This window comes from Homo sapiens, chromosome 9, assembly GCF_000001405.40.
Source record: "Homo sapiens chromosome 9, GRCh38.p14 Primary Assembly".
Taxonomy (NCBI): Eukaryota; Metazoa; Chordata; class Mammalia; order Primates; family Hominidae; genus Homo; species Homo sapiens.
Genome location: NC_000009.12, coordinates 39,442,149 through 39,464,659, shown reverse-complemented (window position 1 = coordinate 39,464,659; position 22,511 = coordinate 39,442,149). Strand labels below are relative to the sequence as shown.

The window sequence follows — 22,511 nt, the reverse complement described above, 5'->3', positions numbered from 1 at the left end:
CCCAGCCGGTCAAAGCAGCAGAAAAAATTATAGTACTTCCTTCGGACGCACGGGCTTACGGGAACTGTAGTTTTCAATGTTAACGCGCCTACCGCGCAGCACTTTGGGAATGGGGCTTCGGGGCTCGCTCTGCGCATGTGTAAACCCAGCCCCACCTCCTGCCGTCTGCCCTCCCGGGCCTGAAAGGGACACGGTGTCCGAGTCTTTAGGTCTGCGCGGGAGCCCAGGCTGCGCACCTGGGGTGAGAGCGTCGGTGACAGGGCTCCGCGCGGCCCAGGAACCTGGGGACGGGCGGGCTTGTGTGCGGAGGACAGCAGCAGGCAGTCTCAGGAGTCCCCAGGATGGCCCTCCCCTCTCCTCCCCGGCCCAGTGCGCGGGCCCAGGCCGAGTCCTGTCCGCAGGTGTAGGGGCTGCCGGGCCCCGCGGGGTTGCGGGCCGGGAAGAGGAATGTGCGTGGATGAGGTTGACGGCGAACAGGAGGAGGTTACTAGCAACTCGTGTTCCTATTCTGAAAATTAAATAAGTTGTCACCTGTAAAGCATTTTGTTAAGTGTCTGTAATAGTCACTATGTGAAATGTAAGCTGCTCTCACAATTATGAGACACTTATTCTCATCGTTTGGTATTTCACCTGACCCTCACAACGACCTCTTTGGTATAAACGTGCCATTTTAAAAAAATGGACGAAAGTTCATGGGGATGGGTACCCCAGGGCACACACTAGTAGGTGAGAGAGGTGAGATGCAAATGCTGAGAGATGCAAATGCAGGACTCCCTGTCCTGCTCGTTCTAACATGCTGTCTGCCTGAAACCCAGACTTGCCAGTACCTGCCTAAAGCCTTCAGAGCGCTTATGCAGAGTGGCCTGTCACCAGATCTGTGTAGATGATTGTGAAGTAAATGTGGACAGAATCTCACCAAGTGGTAGATACATTCTGCGATTTGTCGGGTCTCTGATTCAGGCTGAGGCTCCTGAATCCTCTTGTACTGTTCCCGCTGTCTCCTCAAAGGCACAGATTGATATTCTGGTGCTGTGCTGTCCAATAGAAAGATAAGGCAAAACACAAATATAAATCAGAATTTTTGGCCAGGCGCGGTGGCTCATGCCTGTAATCCCAGCACTTTGGGAGGCCTAGGCCAGTGGATCACTTGAGGCCAGGAGTTCGAGACCAGCCTGGCCATCATGGCAAAAGCCCATCTCTACAAAAATAAAAAAATTAGCCGGGCGTGGTGGTGCACTCCTGTAATCCCAGCTACTTGGGAGGCTGAGGCAGGAGAATCGCTCGAACCCGAGGCGGAGGCTGCAGTGAGCCGAGATTGCACCACTGCACTCCAGCCTGAGTGACAGAGTGAGACTCTGTCTCAAAAAAGAAAAAAAAGTTTAGAATTTTTCAGTAGCTACAGTAAAAAGAAGAGGCAGACAAAGTCAGTTTTACTGCTTTATTTTACTTCCTAAATATTCGACTTGTAGCACTGGCCAAACTTCAGGTGTTCAATGGTTCTATGTGGCTGATGGCTGCAGTGCTGGATAGCACATTTCTAGTGAATCTCAAGAGTCAGGTTTAGGGTATTAGGTGAAGGTTTCAATTGAGTTTGTTTCTCAGGCCTAAGTCCCAGCCCCTCTGGAGCAAAGCAGCTCCTATGAGGCAGTCAAGAGGGAGTCCTAGGGCCTACTGCCATAGAAGAACAGCCCATATGACGGAGACCTCTTCTAGAGCGTCAGAGCAGAGGCAGAAGATTCTAGAAAGGAGCAGGTCCTGATTGCTTCCCCAGAGGCAGTTGTTGACTCCTTATATATGCATCAGATTTCGTGATGTTGCCACATCCAGAAGCCATCACAGACCGTGTGACTTTGCTGTGGACTAACTTGCAGAAGGCAATTCCCAGGGGTTGAGAGGGATGAGTGACTATCAAGCTGGGTGGAAAAAGACACTTTACTGGAGGGCTGGTTAGGTCATGATATCCAGGGAAGATGTAATCAGCTGTCCAGATCCCAAACGGCAGCCTAGTTTCCTTTCTGCCTTCACTTCTTCCACATTGTGAGTCCCTCTCACACCGTGTTCATCACCACATGTGGCATTTAGAGTGATACTAATGCTGCCTCTTTCCGGGTAGTAGAGGAAGAATTTCCTATATTGGAAGCCCAAAAATATTGGGCCTGAAATTCCTTGCATAAAACATCCTATCTTTATTTTTTCCGTGGAAGTGCTAATTCTGGGTGTAAAGGCAGTAAGAACTTGATTAAGTCAGCCTGAGTAGTTCTTTTTTAAAAAAATTATTTTAAAATTTATTTATTTTATATTTTTTTCTATTTTTAGTAGAGACAGGATTTCGCCATGTTGACCAGGCTGGTCTTGAACTCTTGGCCTCCAGCAGTTCACCCCCCTCGGCCTCCCAAACTGCTGGGATTACAGGCATGATCCACCACACCCGGCTGAATAGTTCTTTGACATTAGCTTTAATGAAGGTAAACAGCTTCATCTCTGTGTACCTGAACTTGCTTAATCCTTTGTTTTATTTTTACTTTTTTCTTAGTCAAAAGGGAACATAATTGTTAATAAATCAACATAATTATTAGTAAATCAACAAAAAACAGTATTACTTTACTCAGTGAAAATGTAAGTTTAAGCGCACATAATCGTATCAGAGATGCACATATTCAGGTGTGGCTATCTTTGAGTGGTCTTTCTTGTCCCTTTTCAAGAGTCAAAGGGACATTCTGCATTGGGAATCCTTTTCTCCAGCTGAGTGCGATGATTTTTTTTTTAGGCACATGAATAGGATTACATGCTCCTTGATTACAGTGGGGTTATGTCGCAGTAAAACCATTATCAAGTCGAACCATCTCATGTCAGGGACCATCTCTGTAAGAACTGAGAGGCAGACCAGGTCTCTCATGACCCCACTGCTCTTTCCTCCTCCCCAGCTGAACCTCCACAGTCCTCTACACTCTTCCAGGAGCAGCAGAAAATGAACATGTCTCAGGTGAGTTAGGTTTTTAAAAACCAGTTTATTTTACAATAGGTTTTGTAAGGGTTTATGTGTCCGTACATTAACATGGAAAAGTAGAAATAGAGATGGATCAGACACATTCCTAGAAGATGTAGAAATGCAGATGAATAGCAGAGCAAAGTGGCATGTGGATAGATGCAGATCCTCCGATGTTACAAATTTACCAAATTAAGCTTCAGATTTATTTCTGAGGTTATTGACAGTCATGGTGGAGTGTCAGACAGACAATACTTAAAGGTTTACATTGATGAGAAAGATAAAGCCAACTGATTTATCATGGAATATAAACATAAAGATAACAAAATGTATTTATTGTTCTTCAAGTAGGTGACTTAGTTAATAAATTGCCAAATAACAGAATATTACTTCTTCAATAGAAGTAGAAATTGTAATGCTAAATTTGAACACGTTCAGTACTATTTTTCAAGTACTCCAGTGCAAGGGTTGAATTTAACATTTTTCTGATGAATCAACTGAATGTCTTTAAAATCACTCTCCATAAATATTTTGAGTACCCATGATATTCAGGTTGCTCAGCAGATGGTCCAAAATTGTTCTCTTTCAGATATTTCCACACTTAGCATTTAACGTCAACTCTCCATGGGATGCCTTGATTTTTTCTTGCCACTTGCCTGGGACCTCCAGTGTCCCTACCCATAGTATAATCAAATCCAGTGGACGTGGTCTTTTCCTTAACTTGCTTGGCTTTTCCGCAGCACTTGCCTCAATGTCTCACTCTGTCCTGGAACATTTCCGTTAGTGATACTTGCCCCTCACTGGTCCTTCCCCGGCTGATGTCTTCATGGAGCCACCTTCCTTGTCCTGTCACTCGGCTCAGCCTCAGTTTCTGTCCTTGGCTCTTTAGTCTTCTCTGTTGTCTCCAAATGATTTTGTCTTCCCTTGTTTTTTTCTTTTTTTAAAACTGCTTTTTTTTGAGATTCAATTCATGTATCTTACCATGTACCCATTTAAAGTGTAGAATTCAGTGATTTTTTTTAGTACATTCTCAGATAATGTGCTAATATCACTGCAGTCAATTTTAGAACATTTTTATTCCCTTAGAAAGAAGCTGTGTACACTGTAACTACCATTTGATTCCCTCTGAGCCCCAAACAACCACTAACCTACTCCTCTATCTCCATAGTTTTGCTGAACCACTCCCTTTATTATTTCTTATAGGCAGTCTTGCCTGTGATGAATTCTCTCAGGTTTTGTTTACCTGGGAAAATTCCAGTTTCTCTATTTTTCCTGGATATAGAGGTTATTGGTTGACAGTCTTTGTTTCAGCACTTTGAATATGTCATCCCATTGCCCTCTGTCCTCCATAGTTTCTCATTATAAATCAGCCTGTAATACGATGACTTGTTTCTCTGTTACAGCTTTCCGATTGTCTGTCTTTTTAACACTCTGATTCTCATGTCCAGGTGTGGATTTCTCTTTTCTTTTTTCTTTTCTCTTTTTCTTTTCTTTCTTTCTTTTTTTTTTTTTTTTTTTTTTGAGAGACAGTCTCTCGCTCTGTCACCCAGGCTGGAGTGCAGTGGCATGATCTCGGCTCATTGTAACCTCCACCTTCTGGGTTCAAGCAATCCTTGTGCCTCAGCCTCCTAAGTAGCTGGGATTCCAGACATTCACCACCATGTCTGGTTAATTTTAGTATTTTTAGTAGAGATGGGGTTTTACCATGTTGGCCAGGCTGGTCTTGAACTCTTGGCCTCAAGTGATCTGCCTACCTCCTAAAGTGTTGAGATTACAGGTGTGAGCCACTGCTCCCAGCGAGTGTGGATTTCTTTCTCCAAGTTTATCCTACTTAAAGTTTGTGAAGCATTTTGGGCATGTAGATTTATCATTTATTTCAGATTTGTGGGGTTTTTTGGCCATTACTACTTCTGATATTGTTTTAGACCCTTTCTGTCTCCATTCTGTTAGTCTATTTGGCATATGTTGATAAGCTTGATGCTGTCCAACTGTTCATTTCTTGTTATTTTTCCTTCTGTTTCTCACTGCATAATCTCAGTGGGCATGTTGTCCAGTTGCTTCATTCTACCCGTTCAGACCTGCTGTTGAACAGGTGTTTTTGGTAAAATATTTGTTTTAGTTTTGTACTTTCCAACTTTAGAGTTTCTATTTGGTCCCTTTTTATAGTTTCTGTCTATTTATATCCTTTATCTGGTGAGATATTATTCTAATACTTTCCTTTGGTCCTTACATATCATTTCCTCTAAGTCTTTGACCATATGTAACATAGTTGATTTAAAGTCATCGTCTGTTTAAGTCCAATGCCTGCTTCCTCGTGAGTAGTTTCTATTGATTGTACTTTTTTCCTGCATATGGGTCTTACTTGTTGTTTCTTTTCTTGTTTTGCATTTTTTGTTGAAAACTATACATTTTAAATACGGTGGCAACTCTAGAAAACTTTCTTGATTTGCAGGAGTTGTTGTTGAAATTTGTCTAGTGACTTTTTAATTGATTCAGTAGAGCCTGTGTTTATTGTCATGTGTGGCCGCAGAAGTCTGCAGAAATTTTCTTAAATGCCTGAAACCTTAAGTAAGGCTCTCAGTCTTTGCCAAAGAGCCTCATGAGTGCTGGGGCATTCCTTCAACAGACATCCAGGCAATTTATAACCCCATGTTAACCTTCACTTCCTTCACTTCCAGTTCACCCCAAACCCTAGGGTCACCCAGGGTGACAGTTTAGGGCCTTCTCACATCTTTCCAGAGCATAATCACAGCCCTGGGCATATGCTCAGCTCTATGCATGTAGGTGACCTAGAGTCTCTAGAATCTATAGGAGCTTTTCAAAAGCTTTATGAACATCCCATTCTCCAGTTTTTCCTTTCTAAAAAGCTTTTCAATTAGGCTGTTATTTATGTCAGGTGTTATCCACCGCCTCAGTTAGCTGCTGAGTTAAACAATTGCCTTTGAATGTTTTTGGCAAATGCCTTCAAGAATAAGGCTTTTCACACTGGGGAACTCTGACTTAATTCAATCAGCCTTTCAAGTCAGCTCTTCCAGGGAACCACAGATTAGGTCAGATAATGAGGGTTTTCTGGGAGTGAGGCTTTGGCCAACCTGTGACCCAGTCTGCCTCATCCAGTGGATACCAGGCCGCTGGATTCTCCTGTTGTTTCAGATGTTTCTCAAAGCTAATGCCGAGTGGGAGTGAGAGGGATGGATATAGGGCAGGTTGAAATGACACAAGATCATTGTTCTTACTGTGATGCAGCTGTTTTTCTCATATCAATGTTCCGCAGATTGCTGTAAGCCTTTGGTAGCTTCTAGAGTTCTGAAAAAGTTGATTCTGCAGTTTTTGCCGGTTTCTCGTTGCTTTTATGGAAGAAGGAATTTTCTTGGATCTTCAGTATCTTCACCGTCATCACTTGCTAATTTGAATTTGAAGTCTTCTTGTTGTGGAAACTTTCTCTTTTCTCAATTTCTAAGACTCTGCCCCCTCCTGATTCTGTTATTATTTTTTGGAAAACATCTCTGGCTTTGTGGCCTGTACTTTTTCTGCTTTGTGGTTCCTCAGGTGTTGTTTTTGGTTCTTTTCTTTCTTCAATCCCTGTGTGCTCAAGGAGCTGTCTGTCTCTGCTAATTTTACTCACCACCTAAATTGCTAGTAAATCCTAAATGCTTATCTTCATCCCCATCTTACCTTCTGTGTTCTAAAATCATATGTATCCTGGTTGAACGAACAGTTCTAGCTACGTATCAACATGAACAGAACTCTCACTGAATCTTCTAACACGTTTTCTTCTTTCCCAGATACCAGTTTTGGCACCACCAAGCAGCTGCTTATTTTGAAATATACATTACTTTATTTTTCACTCTAGTCATCATCCTGTGCAATAGCTCAAAAACTATTCCTCTTATGTAACTGAAACTCTGTGCCCTTGGACCAATGCTTCCCCATTCCTCACCCCTCACCCCCAGCCTCTGGTAACCACCATTCTACTGTCTACATCTATGAGTTTGAACTTTTTAGGTTCCACATATAAGTGACTATAATTTGAAATATTTGTCTTTCTGTCAATTAAAAACAAAATTTTTTTAAAAGGAGCTTCTCATACAGCTAGATTGAGTAGCTGTACAATAAAGTATTGTATTAAATGGGTGTTGCTTCTCTTCTGTGATTATATCCCTATTCTTACATCCATTGCTGTGACCTCAGTGTAGAAAGTGTTCTTTTGTGCCAGTCTCTTTGGTTACAACTATTGTAGCTGTTCTCTGCTCTTCACCTGCTCTACCCTATATAAAGTTTGGTCAGGGTATCTCCAGACTTCACATATATCTCTTCCTTAGCCCCCAGAATTTACAGTGATGATGTCCAGGGAGGGTGTGAATGTCCTAGAGACTACCCCGGATAATTTGCGGAGATGTGGAAGAAGGAAGGAGGTGGTTGGAAGGAAGTTGTTTTACATTGATTTTTTTTTGTCTTACAAAAACCTAGAATTCATAAATACATAGAGAAATTATGGCAAGTTAAAAAATGTTTTGAGTTACATATGTTAAGACAATTTTGGGTCTAAAATAGGCCTTTATAACCATTCATTTTAGTAGTAGCTCTCAAAGATATTTTCTGTGTCACCCAATTCTGAACCCTTGAACAAACCGTTGTTATATTTGTTGTGATAAATGTTGTTACAGGCATCAGTGTCATTCCAGGACGTGACTGTAGAATTCACCCGGGAGGAGTGGCAGCACCTGGGCCCTGTCGAGAGGACGCTGTACAGAGATGTGATGCTGGAGAACTACAGCCACCTCGTCTCAGTGGGTGAGCATAGCTTACCATGGGGCTCTCTCGAGAATACATGTCCCTTTTTAAAAACTATCAAAACACATGGACCCTTTATAGAGATTAAAGGGCTTTGGATTAAAAGGTCTGAAGTAGTTGAAACCTTTACAGAAACAAAAGCAACATGTCATTACTTTCCCATTAAAAATTTCAAATGAACACCCTCAGTTAATGCTTTGCTGCCATATCTTTTTTTTCCCTTTGGAAATCCAAAAGCCTGTGAATCTGGTCCATGTCAATTATTTTGTTTACAGGATATTGCATTACTAAACCCAAGGTGATCTCCAAGTTGGAGAAAGGAGAAGAGCCATGGTCTTTAGAAGATGAATTCCTGAACCAGAGGTACCCAGGTGAGTGGGCATTAACAGAAGTACCTGGGGGTACTTAGTCTTTAGAGGGAGAGCACCTTTGAAAGTTTTTTTGGAACAGCTTTATTGAGATATAATTCACATGCCTACAATTCACTCCTTTAAAGTGTACAGGTCAGTGACTTCAAGCAACCACAGATCAAAACTATTCAGGGAAGAAATATTGCACTTTCATTCACCATGTATAGACATTTTTTTCCTGTCACTATTCCCTGAACAATATAGTATAACAACTATGTACATGGCATTTACATTGTATTAGGTAGCATAATTAATATGGTGATGATTTAAAGTATGCAAGAGGATGTGCATAGGTTATATGCAAATACTATGCCATTTTGTATCAAGGACTTGGGCATTTGTGGATTTTGGTATTTAAGAGAATCCTGGAACCAATTCCCCATGGATACCAGGGGATGACTGTATATGCAGACATCACCACAGTTAATTTTCATCACCTCAAACATACGTGTACCCTTTAGTTATCACTGTCCCATCCCCCCTGCCCTCTGCAGCCCTAGGTAACCACAGTCTACTTCTGTGTCTATAAATATGCCTATTTTAGACATTTTGTATAAATTGGATCATATATGTGGTCTTTTGTGATTGGTTTATTTTGCCTAGCATAATGTTTACAACTGATATAAAATACATGTTTCATTCTTTTTATGGCCAAATAATGTCCCGTTGTATGGATGTACCACCTGTTTGTCCATTTATCAGTCAGTAGATATTTGGGATTCCACCTACAAATAATGCTAATATAAACATTTATTTACAGGTTTCTGCATGGACAATTGGTTTTATTTCTCTTGTGTATATTCCTAGGAGTGAAACTGCTGGGTCATATGGTATCTGTGTCTTTATCTGTTTGAGGAACCACCAGACGGTTTTTCTAAATGCAGCATTTTTCTGTTCCTAACAACAGCATATGGGGGTTCTGATTTCTCCACATCCTCACCAATGCTTGTTATTGTTTGACTTTTTGATTCTAGCCACCCCAGTGGATGTGAACTGATATCTCACTGTGGTTTTGATGTACATTTCTGTATTAGTCAGCTAGGGCTATCATAATAAAATACCATAGGCTGGGTAGTTTAAACAACAGAAATTCTCATGATTCTGGAGGCTGGGAGTCCAAAATGAAAGTACTAATAAGTTGGTTTCTGGTGAAGCGTCTCTTCCTGGCTTGAAGACAGCCACTTTCTTGCTGTGTGTTCATGTGGCCTTTCCTCTGTGCACATGCAGTGGGAGAGAGAGAATACTCTGGTGTTTCTTCCGCTTCTTATAAAGATATCAGTACTACTGGATTAGGGTCCTTTCCTGTGACCTCATTTTTACCCTTTTTGCCTCCTTGAAGGCCTTGTCTGCAAATACAGTTACACTGGGGGTTAGGGCTTCAAGATAAGAATTTGGGAAGGACACAAACAAGTCTATAACAATTTCCCTGGTCACTAATGATATCAGGCATCTTTTTATATGCCTATTAGGCTTTGTACAAATAAATGATTCCAGAAATCTTAAAAAGTTATAGTTTTCAATGTCATTTTTAGAATAAAAAAGTAAAATCATCTTATTAGAAGTGAAGCACAATTAAGGTTTTTGTTTGAAGCCATACCAACAAATAGCATCACATAAAGAGTGACATAATTTAGATCAAGTATGTTGCTGAGTCACTAAATGTAAATTATTGGATCATATTGATTGTCTAAAAAGGATATCCCTAAATAAGTAACATAGAAAGATCATTATAAAAGATCAGTAAAGTTGGGCCAGGCGTGGTGGCTCATGCCTGTAATCCCAGCACTTTGGGAGGCCAAGGCAGACGGATCACGAGGTCAGGAGATGGAGACCATCCTGGCTAACACGGTGAAACCCTGTCTCTACTAAAAATACAGAAAATTAGCCAGGCGCCTGTAGTCTCAGCTACTTGGGAGGCTGAGGCAGGAGAATGGTGTGAACCCAGGAGGCAGAGCTTGCAGTGAGCCGAGATAGCACCACTGCACTCCGGCCTGGGCAAAAGAGCGAGACTCAGTCCCAAAAAATTAAAAAAAAAAAAAAATCAGTAAAGTTGTTGAGTCAATAAAGATAAAATAATGTAGGTTTCATGTTCTATATCATTCAGATTTGAATTCAGGCAAGAAATTCATTAAAGTAGGAAAAGCTCTCATTCAAGAGCACAGGGAAATGAAAACCTTTAAGGATTTGAATGAGTGCACCAAATAATATAATATCAATGTTTCTAAAACATAAAATAATGGAGTTCTAAGAACTTAAAACTCATTAGAATTAGGACATCATAATGTCTCATCTGATTAAACAGTAGGTACAGTGGACATTAAATAAATATGCCTAGAGAGGCTATAAATTACATTTGTATTAAAGTGAACCATACATTTGTGTATATGTATGCTAATGCAAAAAACAAAACTTTCATGTTTTAATTGAATAATGATAAAATAGAGTATACTATTAGTCTAAAGAGAAAACCTCAATAAATCTAACAAATTAGAATAAACACAAACAGTATTCTCTGAACCTAGTTTGATAAATCTAGAAATTAATAATAAAATGAAAAAAATCCACTTGAAAAAATTTTAGTATCTCTTTTAAACAATATACAAAAAAGTGTAATGCAATTTTGGATTTGATTTCTGTAATGAAATAATTGTAACTGCAAGTTAGAAACCATCAGGTATAGCTAAAGTAGTGGACAGAAGGAAGTTCGTAGTCTCATTAATTAAGCAAGAACAGCATCAAAAATACAATAGTGAAAACAGAAGAATTTAAAAGTAAAATTAAAAATAAAATGGAAAACAGAAATGGAATGTTTCTTACAAGAAAAATAAAATGAATTAAACTTCAGCTAACTCTATCAAAGAAAAAAGAGAGGAAACACCTATATAATAAATTCAAGTCAGGATACATCTGTAAAGAGGTAACGCTATACCAAACACAATCCCATTCATAAAAACGAGTGATACAGGAGGATTTGCTGCTCTACCAGATATTGAGGCTTTATGTAAAGTGCTGTGTAGCTAAGTAGCATGGAGCTGGGGGGTGGGATGATTTAGTAAATTAGTGAAACAGAGTAGAAAGTTAAAGAAAAAAACATGAGGCCAGGCGTGGTGGCTCATGCCTGTAATCCCAGCACTTTGGGAGGCCAAGGTGGGTGGATCACAAGGTCAGGAGATGGAGACCCGTCTCTACTGAAAATACAAAAAAATCAGCCAGGCGTGATGGCAGGTGCCTGTAGTCCCAGCTACTTGGGAAGCTGAGGCAGGAGAATGGCGTGAACCCAGGAGGCAGAGCTTGCATTGAGCCGAGATTGCACCACTGCACTCCAGCCTGGGCGACAGAGCAAGACCCCATCTCAAAAAAAAAAAAAAAAAAAAGAGAAAAGAAAAAACATATACTTGATAGACATCTTAGATAGATGACACTGGAGAACAATGAGGAAAGGATCTTGAGGTATCCATATAGATCAAAACAAAACAAAAAGTCGAATTCAGTTGGCTTAAGACCTAATTATCAAAACAAAAGTAGAAATATTCTAGAAGATCATATAGAATAGGTTAATGACTCTTCTTAGGGAAGGATTTAATAAAATACAGAATGCATTACCCAGGGGAAGGATGGAGTAAATGTATTCCTTTCTACTCTACCCACTAAGTGCAGCTAAATATCTGTATATAGAAGCATGCCTCAGAGATATTGCAGTTTCTGTTCCAGACCACTACAATGAAGCAAATTTCACAATAAAGCAAGTTACACACAATGTTTGTTTTCCTAGGGCTTATAAAAGTTTTATGTTTACACTATACTTTAGTCTTTTAGATGTGCAATAACATGTCTAAAAAACAGTATGCATGCCTTAATTAAAATATTTGTTTGCTAAAAACTGCTGAGTCAAACACAAAGTGAGCACTTGCTGTTGGAAAAATGGCACCAACAGACTTGCCCAACTCAGGTTTGCCACAAACCTTCAGTTTGTAAAGAATGCAATATCTAGCCAGGCACAGTGGCTCACACTTGTAATCTCAGAACCTTGGGAGGCCGAGGCAGGCAGACCACTTGAGGCCAGGAGTTTAACGAGCCTAGCCAACATGGCAAAACCCTGTCTCTACTAAAAATACAAAAAAATTAGCCAATCATGGTGGCTCGTGCCTGTAATCCCAGCTGCTTGGGAGACTGAGGCACGAGAATTGCTTGAATCTGGGAGGTGGAGGTTATGGTGAGCTGAGATCACACTACTGAAGGGTGGAAAGAAGAATGAAGATGCACTAGGGGTCTTGGCACCTGACAAAATACAAGGTGGTTAGTGTTATCAGAGTCCTTGTGGGGCTCCTGATCTTTCACCCATGCCCAGGGTTAATGTAGAAGCCTCAGCTAGGCACGGTGGCTCACACCTGTAATCCTAGCATTTTGGGAGGCCGAGGCGGGTGGATCACCTGAGGTCAGGAGTTCGAGACCAGCCTGACCAACGTTGCAAAACCCCGTCTCTACTAAAAGTACAAAAATTAGCCAGGCGTGGTGGCAGGTGCCTGTAATCCCAGCTACTCAGGAGGCTGAGGCAGGAGAATCGCTTGAACTCGGGAGGCAGAGGTTGCAGTGAGCCAAGATTGCGCCACTCCATTCCAGCCTGGGCGACGAGAGAAACTGTCTCAAAAGGAAGGAAAAAAAAAAAAAAAGTAGAAGCCTCCTCTTCCACCCCCAGGGCGTCAGATCAGTGGGGAACTGGACTTCCTTCCCCACGTAGCAGGCAGTGATGCTGCACCTCACTCCCGCTAGTATAACTTTAGAGGAGGCTCACTAAAACTGAATATTAATTTTGATAAAGTCCAACTTACTTGTTTTCTTTTACAGAACCTGCTTTTGTTGTTCTATCTAGAAACCTTGAAACTCAAAGTAACAGATTTAGGAATCCTATTTTCTTCTAGAAATTTTACAGCTTCAGTTTTTACACTTAGTTGATAATCCATTTTGTGTTAAATTCTATAGAAAGTATGAGTTATGTGTCAAGTTAAATGTTTTTGGAACAGGGAGTCCAGTTATTCCAGCATCACTTTTTGAAAAGACTGTTACTTCTCCACTGAACAGCATTTCCACCTTTCTTAGAAAACAGATGGCTGTACATTTGGGGGTCTATTTTTGTAGTTTATATTCCTTTTCATTCATCTACATGTCTTTCCTTATGCCAATACCACATTAACTTGATTACTCTAGCTTATTAAGTTTTGAAGTCAAGTACTTCTCCAGTTTTCATCTTGTGTATAAATTTTTAAATGAGGTTCATAATCTTTACAAAGGAAACATGTTGGCATTTAAACTGGAGTGGCATTGAATCTGCAGAACTTAGGAGAATTGACATCTTAACAATGTACAGTCTTCCAGTCCATACACAAAATATCCCTACTGATTTATTTACTGTTTCTTTGATTTCTTTCATCAATGTCTTTTAGTTTTTAGAACACAGATAACGAGGCTTTTTTAATTTTTGTTTTTAATTTTGTTTTGGTGCTGTAATATTGTTTCTGTGATTTAAAATTCCAATTCATCATTGTATGTTTGTAGGCATAGATTTGTATATTGGCCTTAGATTCTGCCCTTGCTAAAAACACTTATTAGTTCAAGGAACTTTTTTGATTTTAAATTTTCTGTGTAAATTTACTCTGTATCTTTGTGTTTTTATTCTTACCTTTTTGCACTGGCTGGTCCTTCCAGTGCAATCTTGTGTAAAGCTACTGGTAGTGGGCATCTTTGTCTTTTTCCTGATCTTAGAGGGAAGACATTCAGTCTCTCTTGAGTATAATGTTAGTGATAGGCTTTTTATAGATTACTTTTATTAAATTAACAAATGGATTTTGAATTTTGTTAAAATTTTTGGCATTGATGTAGTGTGTGATTTTAGTTCTTCAGACTAATGATAGGAGATTACATTGACCTGAAATGCAGCATAAAAACTATAGTTTTTATAGTATTGCAGTGTAGTAACTGTTTGGCATTTTTGAGGTAAATTTCACTGATACATTATCTATGTTTATATATTTCGGTGTACTTTTTGGGACATTTTTGCATTTATGTTATGGGAGATATTGGTCTGAAAGTTTCTTTTCTTGAATAGTATTTGCCTAATCTTGCTATGAGGATGAGGCAGGCCTTATAAAATGATTTGGGAAATATTCCATCTTTTATTTTCTAGAAGACATTGTGTAGGATTGGTATTATTTCTTCCTTGGATATTTGGTAAAATTTACTAGTTAAAACTATTTGGTCCAGAAGTTGTTCTTTGGAATTGCACACACACACACACACACACACACACATACACATATATAGAGGAAGATTTCATTACATTCTTAAGCCTTATTTACATATGCAAACATAGTTAAAATTTGAGTAAATTAGACATTCAGTTAACATATCCTCCATCATAATGAAGTAAGTTAATATGTTGTCGTAAATATCCTTTTCACCGACAGCTCCTTTAGAAAAAAATGTCTTTTAGATTATTCTGCCATTATGTTTTAACATTTGACATAGAATATATTCCCTGTGGTTACAATACACATTCACCTGCCTCTTCTTTCCACTTAGATTGTCCAAATAAAGTTAGTTTGCTTTTATAGTTAAAAAAAAAAAAGAGAGAGAGACTAGAATGCTGTTACAAAACGGTGTCAGAGCTAGCTACTTCACTTTTCACCATGTAAGGATATAACAAGAAGTGAGTGGTCTGTAAACCAGAAGAGGTCTTCACAAGAACACAGTCATGTTGGCACCCTAATCTCAGACTTCCAGTCTCCTGCACTGGGAAAAATAAATGTTTATTCTTTAAGCCATTTAGTCTATGGTAATTTGTTGTAGTAGCCCGAACTAAGACAGAGTTATTGTTAATGTTGTTTTATTATCTCTTGAATGTCTGTTAGTAGTTAGTCCTCTCTTGAATTTTTGGTATTGGTAATTTGTGTCTTCTCTTTTTTTCTCTCTGATGGTTTTTATCATTAAAAAAACTTTTTAAAAAATTAAGCTTTTGGTTTGACTTTTTTGTCATCCTTCTACTTTCTTTCAACTTAATGTCCTGTCTTTATCTAGTTTCCTAAGGGGGAAACAAGCATCTGACTGGAGATCTTTCTTTTCAAATATAATTTTTTTAAAGACAGAGTCTCACTCTGTCACCCAGGCTGGAGTACCGTGGCTCACTGCACCTCCACATCCCGAGTTCAAGCAATTCTCCTGCCCCAGCCTCCTGAGTAGCTGGGATTACAGGTGTGCACCACCACACTCGGCTAACTTTTGTATTTTTAGTAGAGAAGGGGTTTCACCATGTTGGTCAGGCTGGTCTCAAACTCCTGACCTTGTGATCCACACACCTCAGCCTCTCAAAGTGATGGGATTACAGGCGTGAGCCACCGCATCTGGCCAAAAAAATTTAAGCCCCAAATTTATCTATGTGTACTGCCTTAGCTGCATCCACAAATTTCTGTATTCTAAGTTGTTTTGTTTACATTCACTTCAAAATATCTCATTTGAGAATTCTTTCACCCATGGGTTAATTAGGAATGTATAACTTACAGTTCTTTTGTATTTCTCCAGATAAATTTGTGTTTACTGATTTCTGGTATAATTTCTCTGTGGCCCAAGATCATCCTCTGTATAATTTATTTCTTCTATATTTCTGAAGGTTTGTCTTACAGTCTAGAATATAGTCTGTTTTGATGATTGTTCCATGTGCATTTCAGAAGAATGTGAATTCAGCTGTTGAATGCATTGTGTCTTCAGGTTTGAAGCCATGGTTATTGCAAGTGCTACTTTATCTTATCTCTTCTGCTTGAGTATTGGGTCTACTGTGTATTCCTGCCTCTCCTCTTACTTCTGTGCTTCTTTTTTTCTTGTTTCCTTCCCATAGCTGCTATGAGTTCCTGTCAGTGCCCTAAAACAACTTATTATATTCTTGCCCTTGCAGATTAAGACATTTGTTCCATAAATTAGATAATAATTTGGTTCTAGGCAGAATTTTGGTAGTGGCTGCTGTGACCGTCTCCCAGCATATCCTAAGAATGGAACTTTCTCAGGATTCTTCATGGCTCATGGAAGAAAACATATAAGAGCATGCAGATCCTGTGTATCTACGGCAGGGAACATTAGCTCCCTGCTCAGCCTCCATGGAACCACAGGATTGTATCATTTTGGTTTGGCCTGAGCATGAGAAAACATCAAAAGTGTTTCCTGTTCTGTTAGACCACCATTTTCTCAGACCTCTGGCTGGAAGAAGCAGGCTTTTCTTTGTGCTCTTTTTGTCTGTGCCTGTCAGTGCAGGATTGTAGGTTTCTTCAGCACCCAGTCTAGGATATAGAATAGCCTTGGAATTCCATACTGTGTCATTTCTTAAGTCCTGAAGTCCACTTTCTTTCCATTTTGTAGTATTCGTATATTTGTATATTTGTTAATCTTTTTTTGTTGTTTTGTTTTTTCTCTAGGGATTTTTAATTGTAAGAGGGAAGATGTGGGAAGAAAGGGGTTACTACTCCACCTTGACTGGCCCCGGAAATAATACCTGTTTTATAAACAGCATGGATGAGGAGAGAATCTGTCTGTGTGCATGAAGTATTTAATATTTGGAAACATGACCAGAAACAATAGAATAAAATACATAACAAAACAGGGGCCGGGCACAGTGGCTCATGCCTGTAATCCCAGCACTTTGGGAGGTCAAGGCAGGAGGATCGCTTGAGCTCAGGAGTTTAAGATCAGCCTGGGCAATGTAGCAAGACCCTCTCTCCACTAAATATAAAAAAAATTAACAGGACATGGTGGCATATCCCTGTAGTCCCATCTAGTAGGGAGGCTGAAGTGGGAGGATCACTTGAGCCTAGGAGTTCAAGGCTGCAGTGAGCTATGATCATGCCACTGCACTCCAGCCTGGGTGACAGAGCAATACCCTATTTCAAAAACCAAAACCAAAACCAAAATATGAGTATAAGTTCTTCTCCATGAGAAATGTAAGATTTATACTATATTTTCAATTTTTCTCATTTTAGGATATTTTAAAGTTGATCACATCAAAGGGATCCGGGAAAAACAAGAAAAACCTCTGTGGCAAGAAATATTCATCAGTGATGCTGACAAAACATTGAGTAAAGAAGGACAGAAAGTTTTAGAAAAACTATTTAATCTGGAAATAGCTCCAGAGCTTTCAGAAAAAATATCCTGTAAATGTGACTCACACAGAATGAATTTGCCAGTTGCTTCTCAATTAATTATAAGTGAAAGAAAATATTCAAGAAAGAAGACTGAATACATGAATGTGTGTGAGAAACTGCAGCTTGATATTAAGCATGAGAAAGCTCATGCTGAAGAGAAATCTTATGAACATGGTGAAAATGCTAAAGCTTTCAGTTATAAGAAAGGTCAGCATTGGAAATTTCAAACTTTGGAGGAATCTTTTGAATGTGATGGATCTGGACAAGGTTTATATGATAAGACAATTTGTATTACACCTCAGAGTTTTCTAACAGGAGAAAAGTCCTGTAAGGATGATGAATTTAGAAAAAAACTTTGATAAAACCACTTTATTTAACCACATGAGAACTGACAAAAGGGGGAAATGCTCTGATCTTAATGAATATGGGACATCCTGTGACAAAACCACCGCTGTTGAATACAATAAAGTTCACATGGCTATGACACACTATGAGTGTAATGAAAGGGGGATTAATTTCAGTAGGAAGTCACCCCTCACTCAATCTCAGAGAACTATTACAGGATGGAGTGCTTTTGAAAGCAATAAATGTGAAGAAAATTTTAGCCAGAGCTCAGCCCATATAGTACATCAGAAAACACAAGCTGGAGATAAATTTGGTGAACATAATGAATGTACAGATGCCCTCTACCAGAAATTAGACTTTACAGCACATCAGAGAATTCACACAGACTTTACAGCACATCAGAAATTCTACCTTTCTGATGAACATGGGAAATGCAGAAAATCCTTTTACTGGAAAGCACACCTCATTCAGCATGAGAGGCCCCACTCAGGAGAGAAAACTTACCAATATGAGGAATGTGCAAAATCCTTTTGTTCAAGTTCACATCCTATTCAGCATCCTGGAACTTATGTGGGATTCAAACTTTATGAATGTAATGAATGTGGGAAAGCTTTCTGTCAGAATTCAAACCTCAGTAAACATCTGAGAATTCACACAAAAGAGAAACCTTGTGATAACAATGGCTGTGGGAGATCTTACAAGTCACCCCTCATAGGACACCAGAAAACAGATGCAGAGATGGAACTCTGTGGTGGCAGTGAATATGGGAAGACATCACATCTCAAAGGACATCAGAGAATTCTCATGGGGGAGAAACCCTATGAATGTATTGAATGTGGGAAAACTTTCTCCAAGACATCACATCTCAGAGCACATCAGAGAATTCACACAGGTGAAAAACCCTATGAATGTGTTGAATGTGAGAAAACTTTCTCTCACAAGACACACCTCAGTGTACATCAGAGAGTTCACACAGGGGAGAAACCCTATGAATGTAATGACTGTGGGAAATCTTTTACCTATAACTCAGCCCTGAGAGCACATCAAAGAATTCACACAGGTGAGAAGCCCTATGAATGCAGTGACTGTGAGAAAACTTTTGCCCATAATTCAGCCCTCAGAGCACATCATAGAATTCACACGGGGGAGAAACCTTATGAATGTAATGAATGTGGAAGGTCTTTTGCCCATATTTCTGTTCTCAAGGCACATCAAAGAATTCACACAAGGGAGAAACCCTATGAATGTAATGAATGTGGGAGATCTTTCACCTACAATTCAGCCCTGAGAGCACATCAGAGAATTCACACAGGTAGAAAACCCTATGAATGTAGTGACTGTGAGAAAACTTTTGCCCATAATTCAGCCCTCAAAATACATCAGAGAATTCACACGGGGGAGAAACCCTATAAATGTAATGAATGTGAGAAAACATTTGCCCATAATTCAGCCCTTAGAGCACATCAGAATATCCACACAGGGGAGAAACTCTATGAATGTAGTGAATGTGGAAAAACTTTTTTCCAGAAGACACGCCTCAGTACACATCGGAGAATTCACACAGGGGAGAAACCCTATGAATGTAGCAAGTGTGGGAAAACTTTCTCCCAGAAATCATACCTCAGTGGACATGAGAGAATTCACACAGGGGAAAAACCGTATGAATGTAACGTATGTGGGAAAACTTTTGTCTATAAGGCAGCCCTCATAGTGCATCAAAGAATTCACACAGGGGAGAAACCCTATGAATGTAACGAATGTGGGAAAACTTTCTCCCAAAGAACACACCTCTGTGCACATCAGAGAATTCATACTGGGGAAAAACCCTATGAGTGTAATGAATGTGGGAAAACGTTTGCTGATAATTCAGCCCTCAGGGCACATCACAGAATTCACACAGGGGAGAAACCCTATGAATGTAATGACTGTGGGAAGACTTTCTCCAAGACATCACATCTCAGAGCACATCTTAGAACTCGCTCAGGGGAGAAGCCCTATGAATGCAGTGAATGTGGGAAAACCTTCTCTGAGAAGTCATATGTTAGTGCACATCAGAGAGTTCATACGGGGGAGAAACCCTATGAATGTAATGTATGTGGGAAGCCATTTGCCCATAATTCAACCCTCAGAGTACATCAAAGAATTCACACAGGGGAGAAATCCTATGAATGTAATGATTGTGGGAAAACGTTCTCCCAGAAATCACACCTTAGTGCACACCAGAGAATTCACACAGGGGAGAAACCCTATGAGTGTAATGAATGCGGGAAAGCTTTTGCCCAAAATTCAACTCTCAGAGTACACCAGAGAATTCACACAGGGGAGAAACCCTATGAATGTGATGAATGTGGGAAAACTTTTGTCCGTAAGGCAGCTCTTAGGGTACATCACACCAGAATGCATACCAGAGAGAAAACCCTAGCATGTAATGGATTTGGGAAGTCCTGAGGGAATGCATACCTTACCACATAACACGTAGTGCAGAAACTCATGTGACATAGGCTGGGAACTTGTTTCCCTTATCCATTTCCTTTTTCATTAGGCTCATAGTTTGTGGAAAAATCCCAATATGCCGTTTATTCAGGTGGGGCTGACCATGGGATATGGTGCTAATGATATATATTACATTTACTCTTGGCCCTTAAAAAAAAAAAAGAAAAACCCTCACAGTCTTCCTGGTTCATAATATGGATTTGGAGGTTATTTCTGCAGCAAACTTGGGTCCTGTGTGTTCAAAACCATAAAGCACAAGGTCAAGGAAGCTAGAGTCTGAAAAACGAACAATTCACTTCCAGGTCTTCATCAGGGTTTTGTTTTTGTTGCTTTAAAGCAAGAGTTAAGTTTATAGTCTGTTAAGCTCTTACAAATTTGGCTTATTAGTTAAATGGACGTAGTTTAGCTTAAACTTTATGTTAGAGTGAGATGAAACCCTATGAATATAATCAGTTTTAGAAAAACTAATCAGTTTATTGTGCATCAGAGACGTCACATGAAGAAGAAAACTTGTTGACATCCAGGATGATCAGGAGCCTTCATTAAAACAGAAATTTTAGGGAAAACCACAAAAACCTTCGTAAAGTGAATTGCATTAAACATCAATTATAATAAAATTTCATATTTTGAATAAATGACATTTTTCCTAGGTATTTTTTTCTGAGGAAATATGTCAGTTTTAGAATTGGAGATAAAATATTCACCTAGAACTGATGTACCAAGCTTCTGTTTTGTAATATCAAAAATTTTATAGAACATATATAAGAAAATATTTACCTATAGAAAAACTCACTGTAGAATGTGAAGTTAAAAATGGAATAATTTGAATTCTGTGGAGAATATGAATAAATGTGAATAGTTTGAGCTCTGTGGAAGATCTTTTAGTCTGTATATAAACGTTGTAACTCACTGGTGAGTTCTAGTGGGTGCTAACAGCCAAACCTGCACTGGGCATGTCCACTTCCTTTTCTGAGTGACTGTGTCCTCTGTTGGCTTCCCTCAATGCTGTTAGATTTTGGCCTGCCTGCTATGTCTGGATATTAATTAGTCTTGTCCTAAAACTAGTCTTGCCTATTCTTCTAGGACCTTGGAGATAGCTGAGATTTCCCCAGTCACCTTGTGTGTTTGTGTGTTTGGAGGGGGGCGCCAGGGAGGACAGGGTGATTCTTATATACTTTTTGTTTGCCTTTATTTTAATTTTATCCCACTCCACTTACTCATTTTGCACAGGATGATTATAAAGCAACTGGTCTCCTCTCCTCCATTGTATGCATATAGCCTCAGCATCCTGTTTGGAATATTTTCCTCCAACATCATGATGCCTCCTCACACTGCATCACAAACCAGAAATACCAGTTTGGTATTTCTACCAAACTAAGACAGCAGGTTTTGGAATTGGAATGAAAAGGACTACTTTGTCCCAGAAGTACAGTCCTGGTACGAGAAAGCAGACTCACTTTTGGTAAAACAATATAATGTGGCATAATCTTAGCCAAGAAAGCATTTAGTTAATGTGCCATTATTTTAGCCTACGGTTTGATGAGCACAGAAAAGAAAGTAGACAAAATCATTTTTAAAACCTAGACCAGTAACAATTTTCCCCAGCCCTGAGCATCTTGCTTTCTGCAAGTTTGATCTGATAGGTTAAGCATGAGGACAATAAATCAGTTGACCCAAGAAAAATGTCTCTAATTCCCATCCCTTGTTATATTGTGGGCAAGGATAGTGTGAGGGAGAATGATGGCATCTTTAGAATTAGTTAGAGGACAGGTATTTCCTTGACACTGTTGTTAACAGTTAATTGAGTAGCATCACTGCAAAGATGAGCCATGAAAGAAGAGCCCACCTTTAGACGAGGACCATATCAGCACCTCCAGGGCTGGCACATCAGACACTGAGGGGCTACTTTGGGCAGCTCATGAGGAAAAAGGAATGATGAAGGAGTTGGTGTGGGACTGGCCCTGGCGCTGCTTACCTTCCTCAGGTACTTACCGCTCCTGGCAGAAAGGTGCCATCTGTTATGGAAATATGTTTCCTTCTTTTTTATTCTCCTTAGTCTCTGATACCATGATGCTACTTGAGCTTACTGCACAGTGCCCAAGGGAATTGAGGGTCAAAAAGCATGCCTTTCTGCATGCTTAATTTTCAGAAAAGTATAGATGAAAAGGAGTACTCTTTTTTAAAAGAATTATTTGAGAATGTATTTACAGAAAAATTACAATGATAGTTTGTATATACTCCTCACCCAGTTTTCCCTATTAGCATATTACTATGGTATGTTTTTATAACTAAGAAACATTGATA

The 22,511-nt window shown here is 39.5% G+C and overlaps 1 pseudogene across 1 annotated transcript; it reads left to right on the top strand.

Moving 5' to 3' along the window:
* ZNF658B (zinc finger protein 658B (pseudogene)) lies at positions 134 to 20,845 on the top strand (annotated as a pseudogene). The gene is made up of 5 exons (NR_003528.3): positions 134 to 241; positions 2,925 to 2,983; positions 7,654 to 7,780; positions 8,056 to 8,151; positions 17,208 to 20,845. The product of NR_003528.3 is annotated as a zinc finger protein 658B (pseudogene) (transcript).
* The last annotated feature ends 1,666 nt before the right edge of the window (positions 20,846 to 22,511 follow it).